Source organism: Homo sapiens, chromosome X (genome assembly GCF_000001405.40).
Source record: "Homo sapiens chromosome X, GRCh38.p14 Primary Assembly".
NCBI lineage: Eukaryota > Metazoa > Chordata > Mammalia > Primates > Hominidae > Homo > Homo sapiens.
In genome coordinates, this window is record NC_000023.11 from 133,401,588 (window position 1) to 133,418,071 (window position 16,484).

At 46.9% G+C, this 16,484-nt stretch overlaps 1 protein-coding gene across 1 annotated transcript in view, besides 2 other annotated features; it reads right to left on the reverse strand.

Moving 5' to 3' along the window:
* GPC4 (glypican 4) overlaps positions 1-13,902 on the reverse strand; it is a 115,387-nt gene extending 101,485 nt beyond the window's left edge. The window contains exon 1 of the mRNA NM_001448.3: positions 13,219-13,902. Within this exon, the coding sequence (NP_001439.2) occupies positions 13,219-13,378 (160 nt within the window). The 5' untranslated portion in view covers positions 13,379-13,902. The remainder of the gene's footprint in view (positions 1-13,218) is intronic.
* Positions 14,141-14,641: an enhancer, noted in NCBI's record as "H3K27ac hESC enhancer chrX:132549756-132550256 (GRCh37/hg19 assembly coordinates)". NCBI's record gives its function as "activates a minimal SCP1, AML or CMV promoter by ChIP-STARR-seq in naive H9 embryonic stem cells {active_cell/tissue: H9 hESC(naive)}" and the evidence as "EXISTENCE:reporter gene assay evidence [ECO:0000049][PMID:30033119]".
* Positions 15,764-16,303: an enhancer, noted in NCBI's record as "OCT4-NANOG hESC enhancer chrX:132551379-132551918 (GRCh37/hg19 assembly coordinates)". NCBI's record gives its function as "activates a minimal SCP1, AML or CMV promoter by ChIP-STARR-seq in naive H9 embryonic stem cells {active_cell/tissue: H9 hESC(naive)}" and the evidence as "EXISTENCE:reporter gene assay evidence [ECO:0000049][PMID:30033119]".

Below are 16,484 nucleotides of genomic sequence, written 5' to 3' on the forward strand. Positions count from 1 at the left end.
TTATTTCATCATTTGCTCTCCAACCTAAAGAATACACGAACATCTTCTAAGACTGCCTCACTGCTTAATAATCCATTGACCTCATACCAGAAGAGCCTCCCAGAATGTGTCCAGGCCCATCAGATCTGAGAGGGCAGAAAGAAAAGTTAGTTCCAAACTGTGGGTAAACAACAAGGCAGAACATTAACCAACCAGCCAGCTGGGGGCATTTAATTCAAATTCAGTTTAAAGTGAACTCATTTCACTACTCCCCTTTAAAAAAAATCTCCCCATAAACACAAAGAACTAATCCTTACCATAGCCTCCAACATCCTGGTGACAGGTGATGTTTAAGGACCATTTCTAAAGTACATTGGTAAAAAGTTGTCTTATTTTGCTTTTTAAAATCTTAGCACAGGGAAATCTTCTATAATTAAGGCAATTTAAACAATAGTAGATAATAATTTGACTATAAATTGTAAGGAATGTAATGACTGCTTACTCTGGCACCAAAAAACAGGACTTTCTGTGAAGTCACTGCCAAGAAAAATGATACTCCCACTCAGACTGGACCACTGCAAGTAGTAACTGCTAACCACATGCTTTACACTGCAGTTTGCAAGGACACAGTGCTTTGTTTTCATCTCTGACCAAACACCAGACCGAAAACTCAATGGAGACAAATGTGTGGTGAAATAGAAACAATAACTGAAGGAAAAAAAAATATTCTGGTGGCTTAATGCTTGCTGGGATGATGACGTCAAGGGTTTGGTGAACTAAGGAAATGTCTACAGTCCAAAAGAAACCACTTCCAGCCTGCTCTGGTAGGCAGAAGGTGAACAGAAGAAAGAAGACAGGCTTTAAGAGGCCTGCAAAAGCCAAACTAACAAAGTGGCTTTGCAAAGAAAGGACTAGCATGAAAAGAATGGTTGCGATGATGCAGAGATCAAGTCCTGACCCAAACCTCCAGGAGAAGAAGACGGAAGTGAGCACCTAGTAGAAAGGCTGATGCAACAAAAAGGGGCAAAGGTAGCCTCTTCTAAAAGCACCTCTGAGGCCAGGTGTGGGGGCTCATGCCTGTAATCCCAGCACTTTGGGAGGCCGAGGCAGGCAGATCACCTGAGGTCAGGGGTTCGAGACCAGCCTGGCTAACACGGTGAAACCCGTCTCTACTAAAAATACCAAAATTAGCCGAGCATGGTGGCGGGTGCCTGTAGTCCCAGCTGCACAGGAGGCTGGGGCAGGAGAATCACTTGAACCCAGGAGGCAGAGGTTGCAGTGAGCTGAGATTATGCCATTGCACTCCAGCCTGGGCAACAAGAGTGAAACTACGTCTCAAAAGGAAAAAAAAAAAAAAAAAAGAAAGAAAGAAAAAGCACCTCTGCAGGCACAGCCAAGTTCCTGCTAATGTCTGGAACAGACAGCGTAAGAAGTAGCAACCATTTGTCTACCGGGATTAAAACAAACCACATGAAATACTAAGCGCCCACCTCCAAGCAAGCCAAGAAAGAGCACCACGCTCTAGGTTAAGGGGTAAAAAAACATGTTTTCCTTTTCCTTTCCTTACTTAGGCATCTAGGACTGAATGTATGCAAAAGTTAAAAATAAATGAGATAGCTTAAAATAATTAGATTTAAAAAGGGTTATCTTAGCCTGTTTGGGCTGCTAAAACAAAATACCAAAGATTGGGTGGCTTCTAAACAACAGAAATTTATTGCTTGCAGTTCTGGAGGCCAGGAAGTCCAAGATCAAGATGCTGGTAGATTGGGTTCTGGTAAGGGCATGCTTCCTCATAGAGGGCCATCTTCTCACCGTAATTTCATGTGGCGCAAGTGTTAACGGTTTTCTCTGGGGCCTCTTTTATAAGGGCACTAATCACATTCATGAGGGTTTACCTCCCAGAGACTCCACCTCCTAATACCATCACCTTGAGGGTTAGGATTTCAACATATGAATTTTAGAAGAATAGAGTAAGAGCACAGCAGATATGAATAAAAATATCTCGTCCTGGAATGAGTACAGAAACAAAAAGTCATGCTTAACGTTCCTGAGCACCTACCACATGCCATGCAGTATGTTAGGAACTGGGGATACATGGTTTCTCAGATCTGGCATGATAGGGCACATAGAGCTGCCTTTTTTTTTTTTTGACAGAGTCTCACTCTGTCGCCCAAGCTGGGGTGTAGTGGTGTGATCTTGGCTTGCTGCAATCTCTGCCTCCCAAGTTCAAACAATCCTTGTGCCTCAGCCTCCCGAGTAGCTGGGATTACAGGTGCATACCACCACACCCCAGCTAATTTTTGTGTTTTTAGTCGAGAAGGGGTTTCACCATGTTGGCCAGGCTGGTCTTGAACTCCTGGCCTCAAGTGATCTGCCTGCCTCGACCTCCCAAAGTGATGGGATTACAGGCGAGAGCCACCATGCCCAGCCAAGCTTTGCTTTTTTTTAAGGTTCAAATAGCTACATAGTCAGACACTATCCTTAACTTCTAGTGTTTCTTATGATTATACATTTACCTAGTTTGGTAAATGTTTACAAGGGAAACCAGTATTCAAATGTGTCACCCTTAACGAGGAACCAACTGTTGTTGACTTCAGGTCAAAACTCAGTTCCCTAAACTGACCACAGCAGGTAGTACAGTATCAGAAACTAAGTTGAACCTAGATGTTCTAGAGGGCTTTCAAAAGAAGGTGCAGAGGGGCCAGGTGTGGTGGCTCACGCCTGTAACCCCAGCACTTTGGGAGGCCAAGGTGGGCGGATCATGAGGTCAGGAGTTCAAGACCAGCATGACCAACATGGAGAAACCCCGTCTCTACTAAAAAATACAAAAATTAGCTAGGCGTGGTGGGGCACACCTGTAATCTCAGCTGCTCAGGAAGCTAAGGCAGAAGAATCGCTTGAACCCGGGAGGCGGAGGTTGCAGTGAGTGGAGAATGCGCCATTGCACTCCAGCCTGGGCAATAGAGCAAGACTCTGCCTCAAAAAAAAAAAAAAAAAAAGAAGGTGCAGAGGGGCCGGGCGTGGTGGCTCACGCCTGTCCCAGCACTTTGGGAGGCCAAGGCAGAATCACTTAAGGCCAGGAGTTCGAGACCAGCCTGGCCAACATGGTGAAAGCCCATCTCTACTAAAAATATACAAATTAGCTGGACGTGGTGGTGCATGCCTATAATCACAGCTACTTGGAAGGCTGAGGGATAATCTCTTGAACCTGGGTGGCAGAGGTTGCAGTGAGCAGAGATCATGCCACTGCATTCCAGCCTGGACAAAAGAGTGAGACCCTGTCTCAAAAAAAAAAAAAAAAAGGTGCAGAGGAACAAAATCATAAACCACAAGCTCTGAGGTGAAAAAGCCACTGAATTAATAATATACAATTTTTAACACATTTTTTAAAATAAAAAGACAAAGTGACACGTAGATTGACTCCTTGTTGATCCAGCACTGTTGGGAAACTGGGTGCTCTAGATAGGTAAATGTGTAAGTTAACTAAATTTCCCCCTTAAGGGTAGTTTTCATATTTTGAATATTTCCAATAGAACTCTTTTTTTTTTTTTTTTTTTTTGAGACAGAGTTTCACTCTTGTTGCCCAAGCTAGAGTGCAATGGCTCAATCTCGGCTCACTGCAACCTCCACCTCCCGGGTTCAACTAATTCTCCTGCCTCAGCCTCCCGAGTAGCTGGGATTACAAGCATGTGCCACCACGCCTGGCTAATTTTGGCATTTTTAGTAGAGACGGGGTTTCTCCATGTTGGTCAGGCTGGTCTCCCAACCTCAGGTGATCCGCCCACCTTGGCCTCCCAAAGTGCTGGGATTACAGGCGTGAGCCACCGTGCCCAGTAATGGAACTCTTTCTAAAATGTACTTTCTGAACTTTTAAATCAGAATAAGCCAAACACCATTATTTAATACTGTAATGAAATATACTAGTGCCCTCGATGATTATGGTTACAAAGGTGGCTTTGAGCATTCGCCCATTCTAGGAGATCTCAAACTGCCAAGATCAGCAAGTTCTGGCTCTCCCATTCAGCTTCTGGTCACCCTCCAACTGTCCTCTCTCACTTCTTCCAGATGTCAAGTCTTACCTGCCTCTAACACGATCCCTTCCTGTGATTCCCATCGGCCCCCAACCAATACCATTTGCTACTTCTAATCTGCCATAGACTGGGAAACTGGATAACCAAAGCATTTTATCTTCTCACGTATAAACCCTATCTACCTAATTTGAATGCAAGTTCCTCAAAAGCTTGATTCCTGCTTGACACCTCTTGGAATCCCCTGCACCCAGCATACTGCTCTGGATACAGGAGCCATTCAATGATTGCTGATAATAAATTTCTGAAGGCCTTTTCTCCACATAGAATGCATGGGCTTTATGACAGCTGTTTCCATCATTTGGCTTTTCTGCTTACTTCCACATTCCCAGCTGTGTTCTGGATGGTTGCACCAGCTAGAAGCCTAGGGATTTACTGTACTTCTATTTCTTGATAAGATACTTGAAGAGAATAAACACATGGCAAAGAGGACATTAAAGTAAGGGATAAAGAGATTTATTTTAATTTTACCAATAAAGAAAAAGGGAAGAAATATCACCTAGCATGTTGACACTTAATCAATAAATGACAGCAAGGCTGGATTCTGTTCTAATTCTTTCCAAAGTATTCTCATTGTGCTTGTCTTATGTCTCTACCTGCAGCAAAGCAGCACTCAGTTGTGGTTCACACTTATATCTTGATTGAAAACATTTTCCTCCATGTTTGACACACCTTTCTCTTAAATCCAAGTTAGCCAAAATTAAAACAACCATGCACTGATTCTAAACTAAAGGCTTTATCTCAAACAACATTTTGTGATGAATCTCATTGGAAAATTTAGAATAATAGAATCTCAGAGATGGAAGGGACCTAGGCCAGGCATGCTGGCTCACGCCTGTAATCCCAGCACTTTGGGAGGCCGAGGCGGGCGGATCACGAGGTCAGGAGTTCGAGACCAGCCTGGCCAACATGGTGAAACCCTGTCTCTACTAAAAATATAAAAAATTAGCCAGGAGTGGTGGTGTGCTCCTGTAATTCCAGCTACTCAGGAGGCTGAAGCAGGAGAATCACTTGAACCCAGGAGGCGGAGGTTGCAGTGAGTGGAGATCATGCCATTGCACCCAGCCTTGGCAACAGAGCAAGACTTCGTCTCAAAAAAAAAAAAAAAAAAAAAAGAAAATTAAAAAAAACTACCATGGGCCAGGCACAGTGGCTCACGCCTGTAATACCAATACTTTGGGAGGCCAAGGTGGGTGGATCACTTGAGGCCAGGAGTTCAAGACCAGCCTGGCCAACATGGTGAATCCCCATCTCTACTAAACATACAAAAAACCAGCCGGGTGTGGCAGCACACACCTGTAGTCCCAGCTACTCGGGAAGCTGAGGCAGAAGGATCGCTTGAACCCAGGAAGTGGAGGCTGTAGTAAGTTGAGATCACGCCATTGCACGCCAGCCTGGGTGACAAGAGCAAGACTCCATCTCAAAAAAAAAAAATACACACACACACACACACATTCATCCATCCATCCATCCATCCATCATGGCCTAGTCCTTCCTGAAAAAAGTATTATTTCATTGGTATGGGGTGGTACCCAGGCATTAGTATATTTTAAAAGCTCCTCAGGTGCCAGGTGGTTCAATTTCACCCCATTTTTCAAAGAGGGAAGAACCTCACCAAAGGTATTTGACAACAAATTTGCCAGAGTTAGGCTAGAACTACTCATCCTAACAAGCCATGTCTTCTCCATGTAAACTACTCCATCTACAACAGTGGAGTCTCTTCCCTCCCTCACTCTCCCTCTCTGTCCAACTATCCCCACCTATCTCAAAGTAAATATATTTTCTGAATATTCTTTGCCTTAGAATCCCATTGCATAATTTTTAAAAACCTAAATGATGTATGTCTGCTTCCCTGTATCCTCATGCTTTTTTTTCCACACAAAGAATCCCGAGAGATCAATCAGGCATGGTTTACCCTTAAAGAAGCCATATTGCTTCTCCCTAGATAGGTTGGACTCAACCCACCCTTTTCACCATTATTATCACACATGCCATCTTTCAAATCCCTTGCAAGATTCAACTTCAATTCTCTGTCAGCCCACTTAATTTCTAGTTTGTACCTGGGCCTTGTGAAACCTAGTGGACTTCCCTCTTCTGGCTTAAACTCTTTGTATTTTGTGAAAGATGCCTTTTTCCCTGAAGCAGCCTCTTTTACTCTGCCAGTTAGTCATGCCGGGTTCTTTTTTTCTTCCCCCGAGCAGTTGGTCTTTTTGATGTCTGGCACACATTTATCTGGGCTTCCAATAAGATGTTTTTACATAGTTTCCAGGCTTCCTGGAGGTTATTGACTTTTTTAACTCTCCCATTCAGTTTTTTCCCCTAATTTCTAACATTTGTTAGAGTTTCTTTCTCAAAAGTTGAATACCTGGCTGATGCAGCTCTTTGATTTTTCTCTCCCACCAGATTGCTGAATTAAATGCATCAGAACTTAAACATAATATTTCAAATTACCTCCAGGATGGAATCGCTTCATGCATTTTCTGCACTTTCATGTTCTCTATAGTAAGCAACAGATGTTTAACCAAGTAGATTTGAAAATGCTAGTTTTTACCTGTTTGTATTTTAGTATGTCTGTTTATTTATATAAAATATTCTGATACCCTTCAAAGCTTGTGTTCTTCTTGGTAAAGACAATAAACTTGAGTTTTTTTATGTTAAAAGGTAACTGATGCACACTGAACAGTTGCATGTGGTAAATTTGCTCTAAATTGCCTAATCACAACAGTCTCAACTGTTCATTCTTTAAAGAAGTGTATCTCAAGGCATTAAGAAAAACAATTCTGAATCTTTCTGAAAAATTCCTGGCCAGTGCAGTAGCTCATGCCTGTAATCCCAGCACTTTGGGAGGCCGAGGTGGATCACCTGAGGTCAGGAGTTCAAGACCAGCCTGACTAACATGGAAAAACTCCATCTCTACTAAAAATACAAAATTAGCCGGGCATGGTGGTGCATGCCTGTAATCCCAGCTACTCTGGAGGCTGAGGCAGGAGAATGGCTTGAACCAGAGGCGGAGGTTGCGGAGAGCTGAGATCGTGCCATTGCACTCCAGCCTGGGCAACAAGAGCGAAACTCTGTTTCAAAAAATAAAAAAAAATCCTATAAGCATTCAGTTATTAATGAAGTGGTAAAGACAAGTACTCCCCCAAAAGAATAAAAACGTTCTCCAAGCTATACCAACATATGCATATTTACTTTAAATTTATTTCACTTCAAAGTGTTTAGATACAGGCCTGGAATGGTGGTTCATGCCTGTAATTCCAGCACTTTGGGAGGCTGGATCATTTGAGGTCAGGAGTTCTAGACCAGCCTGGCCAACATGGTGAAACCACGTCTCTACTAAAAATACAAAAATTAGCCGGGTATGGTGGCACACGCCTATAATCCCAGCTACTCGGGAGGCTGAGGCAAGAGAATCCTTTGAACCCAGGAGGTGGAGATTGCAGTGAGCCGAGATCACGCGACTGCAATCCAGCCTGGGCAACAGAGCGAAACTTCATCTTGGAAAAAAAAAAAAAAAATTAGCCAGGCGGTAGTGGCTCATGCCTATAATCCCAGCTACTCTGGAGGCTGAGGCAGGAGAATTGCTTGAGCCTGGGAGGCAGAGGTTGCGATGAGGCAAGATCACGCCACTGCACTCCAGTCTGGGCAACAGTGAGACCCTGCCTTAAAAAAAAAAAAAAAAAAAAAAAAAAAAAAAAAAAGTGTTTAGATCCAAAAGATTCCTAGGAGATCAACAGACCATGGAATGACAATCTATCATCAAGGCAGTATAATCTCATTGTAGCACTAGTGTCTGACAGAGAACACAATAGAATTGGCTATGTTATTCTCCCACTTGTTTAACAAATATTGCACTGACCTACCACACTTGGTACTGCTACCCACAGACAAGACGAGGAGTTGTCATCTTTGCCCTCAAGTTGCTTCCAGTTGAGAAGACAAACACGTACCTGCACACACAGTTAACTATAATACAAGGCAGTTATGTACAAAGACCATGGACTGGTTCCAACAGGGAATTAGGAAGAAGTGGGCACATAACCCTGGAGAGTTCAGAAGTGACTCAATGAAAGAAGTATCATTTGAGATGCTTGGAGCCACTGAAGCTCAAAGCACAGGAATAACTCTAATCAAAGCAGTGATGTAAGGAAATTAAGCTGGCGATGTTCAGGATAGAACAGGGATTTAGGAGGGGGGGACAGACAAGAGGCAGGTAGACCAGTTAAGAACTATTTAAAAAGAGTCTGCTGACAGACCTCCCTGTCTTTATCTCTTGCCTCGCCAACCCTTAACCCAAAGAGCCACTAGTTATCTTCCTAAAACAGCTTGACTGACGACATTCCCCTCCCTCAGAAACCCTCATTGGCTCAATTGTATTGTCCAGGAAATACAATTTATATTCCTTCTACCATTAACACTAGATTGTCTATGTCTGGGTTTGACATTTTGTCTACAAAAGATGTGACTGGATCCTCTCCACTATAACACGAAAATTGTGCCGTTTTGATGATGGTCTGTTACTAGTTAGCTGAGGGTCCTCCCATACTTTATATCTCAACAACCTCTATGGGAATAGAGAAGGTACTTTCTTGTCTTACTATCTGTACAACATAGCATGAACTATACTCTAGAACAGATAAGACCTGGGTTCAAATCCCACCTCTGTTATTCATTAGCTATAAGATTGTGAACATATTTCATAATCCCTTTGAATTTGTTTTCTTGTCTATAAAATGGAGATGATAATTCTGATGTCATATGGTTGTTGTGGGTTTTAAATGAGACAATCATGTAAGTTCCTTGGTATAGGGCCAGGCCCAGAGAAAGCATTCAATAGCTACGAACTCTTATCATGAGGCCAAAATACATTTTTAAAAACATAAATAAGAAAAAAACCTCAGTGCTAAAACAGTTAATGTCATTGGGGAGCCAGAGAGACTCACTTCCAACTGCCTCAGATTAACGCCAATGTTGTTTCCCTTGTACACATAACAAAAAACTTCCTTTTTCATTCCTCAGTCTAGTCTCCAGTTAATCCTGAAATTGCATGCAACCCAACGTGAATCAAATAAAAAAGGAAAACAGTAATTATGCTGAATCAGACATTTTATATTTATATGTTCTAACCAGAGACTGAGCTGCATAAGCCAGAACTTTAACTAAATTCTTTTTTGAACATGTCCAGAAGATACCTCCTGTAAACTACTTGGGACAATTTCTACAGTGATAGGCCCTGTGGCTCAATTCGACCCTCCCCAAGTGAAACACAGAGCCAAATTGATGATTCCAACAAAACAGGAGATCACAGATTCATTGCAAAATCCAACACATTACTTACGGTGGGGAAGGCGGAATACAAATCTTAAAGACACATGCTGTGTGTCATATATAATCAACTCACTATTAGAAAGTATTGCTACCTCTCCAACACACATACACACGTACTTTTTTTCCACGTAGTCATAACAGCTTATAGGAGTCCTGGAATCCTTTGTGCATGTACATATGTATGTGTGTGTGAGCACATGATCATAGGTGCATTGCTCATGAACACAGAAGGGAACAAGAAATAAAAACTCCAAAACTGCAACTAGGGCACAAAGTTCTGAGTATCATTCAATGTCATTGTGAAGAGGACCTTTGGCAAGTTCATGAATGCTTCTAACCCACTGCCTCACTCTTAAAAACAATTTCAACATAGATGAGTAATAAAATGCCCATTGTTGCATACCCTTTACCTTTGTCTTTATGGAGGGAGGCATAATGAAAATGGTTAGATTTTTAAACTTATCTTCATTAGTATTTTCATTTTTACTAGTGAACTAGCTTTACCCAGTTAATATTCTATAGTATTAGAGTCCTAAATCCCTTCTCTCTTTGAAATGCCTGGGCACTCCCTTCTCGTCATCTGTATCGCTTGTATGGCACTTATCACCACTGTGTTGTATTCTAATTTTGTGTGTGCGTGGCTTATCTCCTTACTAATAGGAAAGGTCCTGGTGGCAGAAGCCCCTCCTGCCTTTCTTGCTGTCTCCACAATGCTGAGCAGAGGATACTGCACATAGTGGGCGCTCCAAAAGTACATGGCCATTGAAAGCTGAACAAAAACATAATCTTTGTGTTAAAGATCCCTTTTGATCATGGCACCTGGACTCAGCATTATTTGAAAAGTACAGGGGTCAAGCAGACAGGCAATGCAGGACCTCAGTTGGAAGCCCTGTCAGCATGATGTACTCCCTGACACCCTTGAGAGCACATCAGATGATCCTAACTATGATCTATAAAGACTGAGACTCCTCCAGAACATGGAGTATTCTTAAAGCCTGTTCAAACCTCTAGAAGGCAAGTGCAAGGCCATCTGGAATAAAACATTAAACTTGGGCTGAGCCTGGGGCTCAATGAGCTAGGTACCCAGACTTTGTGATACTTCACCTGGAAAATGATCCTGGGTGTTTTGCACTGAAAAAAGCACATTCCCCATCCCAGGCAAAGTGCCTGGCAATTAATCCATCCAGACCTAGGCTGAATACAAGTCACTATATTGACTATCCCCCTTAAAAAATGACCAAAATTATCTGAGTGTAGCTCAGAGAAGACAAGGCTAATGTATGCATCTGGAGAGGCCAGGGTGATGGTAAAGATTACGCCTGTTTCTATACTGGCCGTCTAAAGGTATTTACTTGGGTCTGTCTGTGTTGTGACAGTGTCCTAGACTCAAATGAATGCCTCTAACACTCCACATTTTTGAGCCATTCAGTCATGCATTTTTGTTATTGTTGAAAGTGGTGCGAAATTGCACTGCATGAGCTAAAGTCCTTGGTGGTCTTCCAAGGATTCCAGCTAAAAAGGCACTTCCTTTGTTCCTCAGGAGAATGCAGTCCAGTAGGTCATTCAAAAGGGGAAATAAAAGCAGCAGCCCAGGGAGGGAGATGAAGGACAAGACAAAAAGAATAAAATGTTTTGGGTGTGAGCACATTAGCTTCCATTTCCTGCTGCTGGTCACTAATAACTCCCCTATCTTTGGCATGGGGGAATGTCCAGATAGACATATACGCAAAATATCCCTCAGGTGATTTCTGGGGATGATGACAATCAAAGGGAACACCTAGCACAGAGTCTCTGAGCACCCTTCAAGCTTCCTTTTTCCTGAGATGCTGGCTGGGGAAGATGCCCTGCCACAGCGAAAGACTGCACAGAGCAAAGTTGGGGAAACTGGGGAGGGCAGTTTCACAACCCCACTCGCTGAATGCCTGCAGTCAATATCAAAGGCACATATTGTTTGCATGAGCAGAAGATGAAACCTTGTCACATTCCCATTAAGTGCAGAGCTGCATCTACCCCTTCAAAATGTGGGAATGACAACTGTAACCTTCACGCCAATCATCTCCGCTGTGCCCAGGCCTAAACTGTGCAGGGCACAAAGACCCCAGGTTTGACCTGCAGAGTCCCCAAGCTTCAGCGGCTGGTGGTTCACTTCATTTTTTTTCTGGCGGGGCAGGAGGAAGGGAAAGAAAGAGGGCTTTTCAGGGCTCTACAACCAATAAAATCGTGCCGCTTTGAGGACATACTTGAGCTCCCCAAAAGACAGGCAGCTGAAGGGCAAACAGTGTCTAATCAGTAGTGAGCATGTTATTTGGTAACTGCCAAGGTGCAGTGGGCGCCTGGGCTGCTCCAACAATTTCTTCGCTTCTATTTCTAGACAGACGCCAGTTACACTCCAAAAGTGCCCAGCAACTTCCCTCAATTACCTTTGTAATTAATATGTAATTGATGACTGCACTTAATCTCCAAGGTTATTAATAGCCCTTCCAAAAAATGACCCCCAAATCTTCCTAAGCCTTTGGAAGCGCCTGGTTGAAATTACAGTATTTCCTTTGCTGGCTGCCGGCCCCCTGCCCGCCCCACCCGGAGACCAGCACGGCAAGGCAAAGGCGCGCTCCACTCACTTCCATGAAAGGTTCGGAGTGGAGGCTCAGCCCCCCCCCCGGGCTCGAATCTCTCACTCCTCCGTTAGATTACGCTGGCCACCAGCCAGCTAGATTCGTGGTGCTTTCTGAGCCCCCAGGGCGAACGGGCTACCTGCGCGGCCGGCGGGGCTGCGCGCAACAGTTGGCCGCTGCTAAGAAGACAGTGCGACCCGGAGGGGACCCGGCCGGACACCGCCGCCAGCTTCGCTGGGAGGGACGCAGGGCACCCGCCGAACGCTGCCTCCCCAGCGCTCCGAGAGGGGCTTTCACAAATACCCCCATACACCCCCCATCCCACCCCACCGGCGCCAAAATCCGGTGAACTTTCTCACAGGCTAAGCCGTCTCTATTTGCATAACCATCTCCAAACTGAGATTCAGGTTTCCTGTAATCAGTCCTTTCAAAGGTCTGTAATTGAAAGTGCAATTAACCCTTAAAATGAGGTAAGAAAAAAGAAAGAGGGGAAAAATACTCCTCTGGTCTGATACCTTCCGGAAAGTAGGAGAGTTCCCAAAAGTCAGGGTTTGGAGGGGTGGAGAGTGGGGGTAGTCGTTTGCTTTTTAAAGGCGACTTCTGAAGCGGTTGCGGCTACTAAAACTCCTAATCCTTGTCAGCGGTGCAAGAGAGGCGGGGAGAGAGTTTTAAAAGAACATCAATGAAACATCAATTCAAGTTCCACGTTTTGCGACCCCCAGAATCTAGCAAGCTCCGGGACGTTTCCCTCCACCACACCCCACTGGCGACCCCCACCCCCACCCGGCCTCTCCTCACCCATACAACAAAGCGGGGCGTCCTATAAGGAGTTCAACCCGGAAAAGGAGAAGTAGCCGGTGACACGCACTTTGAGGGCCACAGTCCTCAGGGGCTTCCCGGGACGGCGAATAATGCAGGGGGGAGAGGAGGAGCGGAGGCGGGGAGCGGAGCGCGACAGTCGCACTGGGCAACCCGGCGGCGCCCCTCCGCTCGCAGTGCTGGGAAGGGGGGAGCGCTGCGCCCGCGGGGAACGTCCTGCGCCCGGGCTGCCTGGCTCTCTCGCTCGCTCGCTCCTGCCCTCTCGACTGCCCATTTCTCCCTCTAGTGTACCTGCGTCCGGCGCAGGGGGCGGCGGGGCGGGGGAAGGGAGTTGCAGCCTCCCTTCCCGAAGTGTCGGTCTCTGCGCCCACCTCCCGGGTGTGCCCACCTACCGTTGATCTCGTGGAGGGGGGCATCGTTCTTGTTGAAGCCTTTGGACACGTAAAGACGTCGCACTTCCGAGCAACTTTTCGACTTGAGCTCGGCAGCCAGCAGCGCGGCGCTGAGCACTGCCAGGGTGCAGAGAAGCGCGGGCAAGCCGAACCGTGCCATGGTGCGGGCCGGGGCGGACGCGTTCCCACCTTTGGGACCGGACGGGAAGCGGCGCTACGGCAGCGGGCCGAGGGCTGGCGGAGTCGGGGACTAGCGAGTGGAGCTGGAGGGAGAAGGAGTTGGAGTTGGTGGAAGAGGCGAGCAGGCGGAGGAGACGCGGGGCGAAAAGTAGAGCTGGGCCTCGCGTCAGGCAACGGTCCCCGGTGCCAGGCGCCGGGCCAGGGGAGAAGGAGGGCGTGGAGGCGGCGCGCGGCCCAGGGAAGCAGAGGCGCGGGCTGGTGACCTCGGGGTTTCGCGGGGCAGCGAACCCGGCAAGCTGACTGGCCGGCGAGGCGGGGACGCGGGGAAGGAGGGAAGGGTGGCAGGCGCCGCGGGGACCGCAGAGGGTGTGGGCGGCGGCGGGCGTTCGCTGCGCGCTGCTTGGGCTGCCCTGCGCTGGTCCGCTCGTCCGGCTGGACTCGGCTCGGCTGACTCTGCCCTCCGCCGCGCGGCTGTGCCCTTCTCAGCTCTGCCGCTGATTGACTGGCCGGCGTGCGCGGCGACGCTCCGCAAACTTGGCCAAGCGGGCGGCACTCGGGGGGAGGGGGCGGGCGTCGTGGGGGGGCCGGAGACAGGCGGGAGCACGCTGGGCCGGGCCGGGAGAAAACCTGGAAGCCGGGTTGGATCCGGAGCGGCCAAATCCACTTCCTAGGGGGCCGCACCGGGCGCCCGGCGCTCCTTCGCGTGACACGCCCCACCCGGCTCCTCCTTCCTCCCCTCCTCCTCGGAGGCGGGGAGCCAGCCCACCGCCCCCCAACCACAAAGGGAAGGCCAACTACTCCGGGCTGAAGGGCCCAGGTTCTGGGGAACGGGACGGCCTGGGACTTGTCCCGAAGCCCATGTCTGAGCCCCAGGCCTTCTTGCGCGCGGCCACCTGACCCGCCGCCTATGGGCAAAAGCCGCGCGGAGCCCTCCCGCCGCGATATCCGCCTCCCCGCTGCCATCCCGCACCCGCGGACGCTCCTATCCGCGCAGCTCCCGGGCTGGGCGGGGAAGGCACATTACTCGCATTGTTTCGCTGCAGGCAGCAGGGGGATTTGGGGCTCCGAGCTCGTCCTAGAGCCTCACCTGGTCTCCCCAGACCTGCTTCCCATAGGACGGTACTCGTGAAACACCAGTTTGTCCAGGACCCCATCAGGCATCCTCCTTCCCGCATCCGCAACACTCCAACCCCTCGACGCCACTCCCACCCCCGACCCGGTTCTACTACAAGTCTAACCGAACTCTGAAGCGGGAGAAACCCCCAACCGCGAGGTGAGGGGGCAAAGACAGGGTTGACCGCAGAGATCTTGGAGACCATTTGGCCCAACCCTTCCTTCTATTAAGGGAACTGGGGCCCAGAAATGGGAAGCGACTTGGTAAATAGCACGCCGGGGAAGGGGGCGTCCAGAACCCGGGACTCTTGACTCTCGAATTTCATGGAATAATGGTAGCCCAGGACTCCCAAACCCCCTACCCCCTCAAGCCCCTTGAGAGAGACTGACACCCCTCTGGGACTCAGTCCCCACTTTTCCACCAGAAAACTGGAAATGGGAGAGACTTCCCATCTTGCAAGCTTTGTCAGATTCCATTAATGAGTGTTTTTTTGAAGCTCCCAGCGCTCCTTAAATGAAGGGAACTGTGCAGCTCGGGAACTTGTCATTACCGTTGTTATTGTTACAATCTGCTTTAAGAGGTTGGGTTGAGAAGTGCCTCAGACACCTCGGGAGTGTGCTGGGAACTGGGCAGATAAAAAGGGCTGGAACTTATTATTTGGCTAGACTCTCAATTCCCATAAAATTACATAGGGCAAAGATACGAACCATCATTACAGTTATCACCCTCAGAGGGTTTGTTGAGACTTTCTCCACTGTTGTTTGTAAACCACGTTGACATGGCTGGCTATGAGGAGCTGTTATTTTGAATACCTGCTTGCAGACTCTTCTACATTTTGTTAACAGACTATCAACATGAACAGACTGTGACCCGTCTATAACTGTGACTTCCAATTTCTGTGGGCTGGCTGAATATTTAACTCTGAAACTAGGAGAGCAATTTTTTTAATGTGCAAACTCAACTACAATTGAATTTCCTGCCATTTTCAAGACTTTCCTTAAACTGGTAACCATCAAGTCCTGAAGGCATTGCTAGGGCTTAGCTGAGCACTTTTAATTTTCATTGATTGATACATTTACTTAAAGATGTTCTTCACCAAGGAGAATATGCTCTGAGATGCAACGAGCATTATTATAAAATGGAAGCCAGTGACCGTAAGAGAGAAAATGATACTCCTGAACCATGAAGGCCAAATCAGAAAGCTACTTCTCACACCAAGGCTGGGAGGAACTCATTCGTTGCCGCCGCTCCCCCCCGCCGCCCCCGCCCTCCCCAGGTTTACTCCTGCTCTTCCTCATAATGTATTATTAACCCAAACTTGAGCCTTTTCCACCAGAAACAGTAACCTCTGGCTACAAACAGATCTGGACAAGTCTGAACTTTACCAAGGGAGGCAGGAACCCCAAGCCGTGCTCAGAGGCGGCTCCCACTTCAAAGCCTCCTTTCATTTAAATACAAACAGGGTGAACAACTGGCAATCTACGAAACAAATACCATCCAGAAGGGAAGCTTTCTTTTCAGATGGGCCAGAACTCCTTCTTCCCTCTCCCACTCCCATCCCTGCTGTCTTCAGAAGAGGCTTCTTAGTGGAGATGCACCTACTCCTTGTAAGTTCTCTCAACGCCAAAAAATAGAGACTGCATGTTGACTGCAAAAATCGATGACTTCTCAGGCTGATTAACCGTCATATAACTTTTTTTTTTTTTTGCTTTTTAGAATTGTGGTAAAAAGCACACACATACGCAATTTGGTATCATTTTAACCATTTTGAAATGCACACTTCAGTGGCATTTAGTACAATCATAATGTACAATCATCACCACTAGTTACAGAACATTTTCATCACTCCAAAAGGAGACCACATACCCATTAAGCACTCAAAGTTCATTCTCTTCTCCTTCCAGTCCCTACAAACCACTAATTTGCTTTGTCTCTATGGATTTGCCTGTTCCAGACATTTTGTAGAAATGGA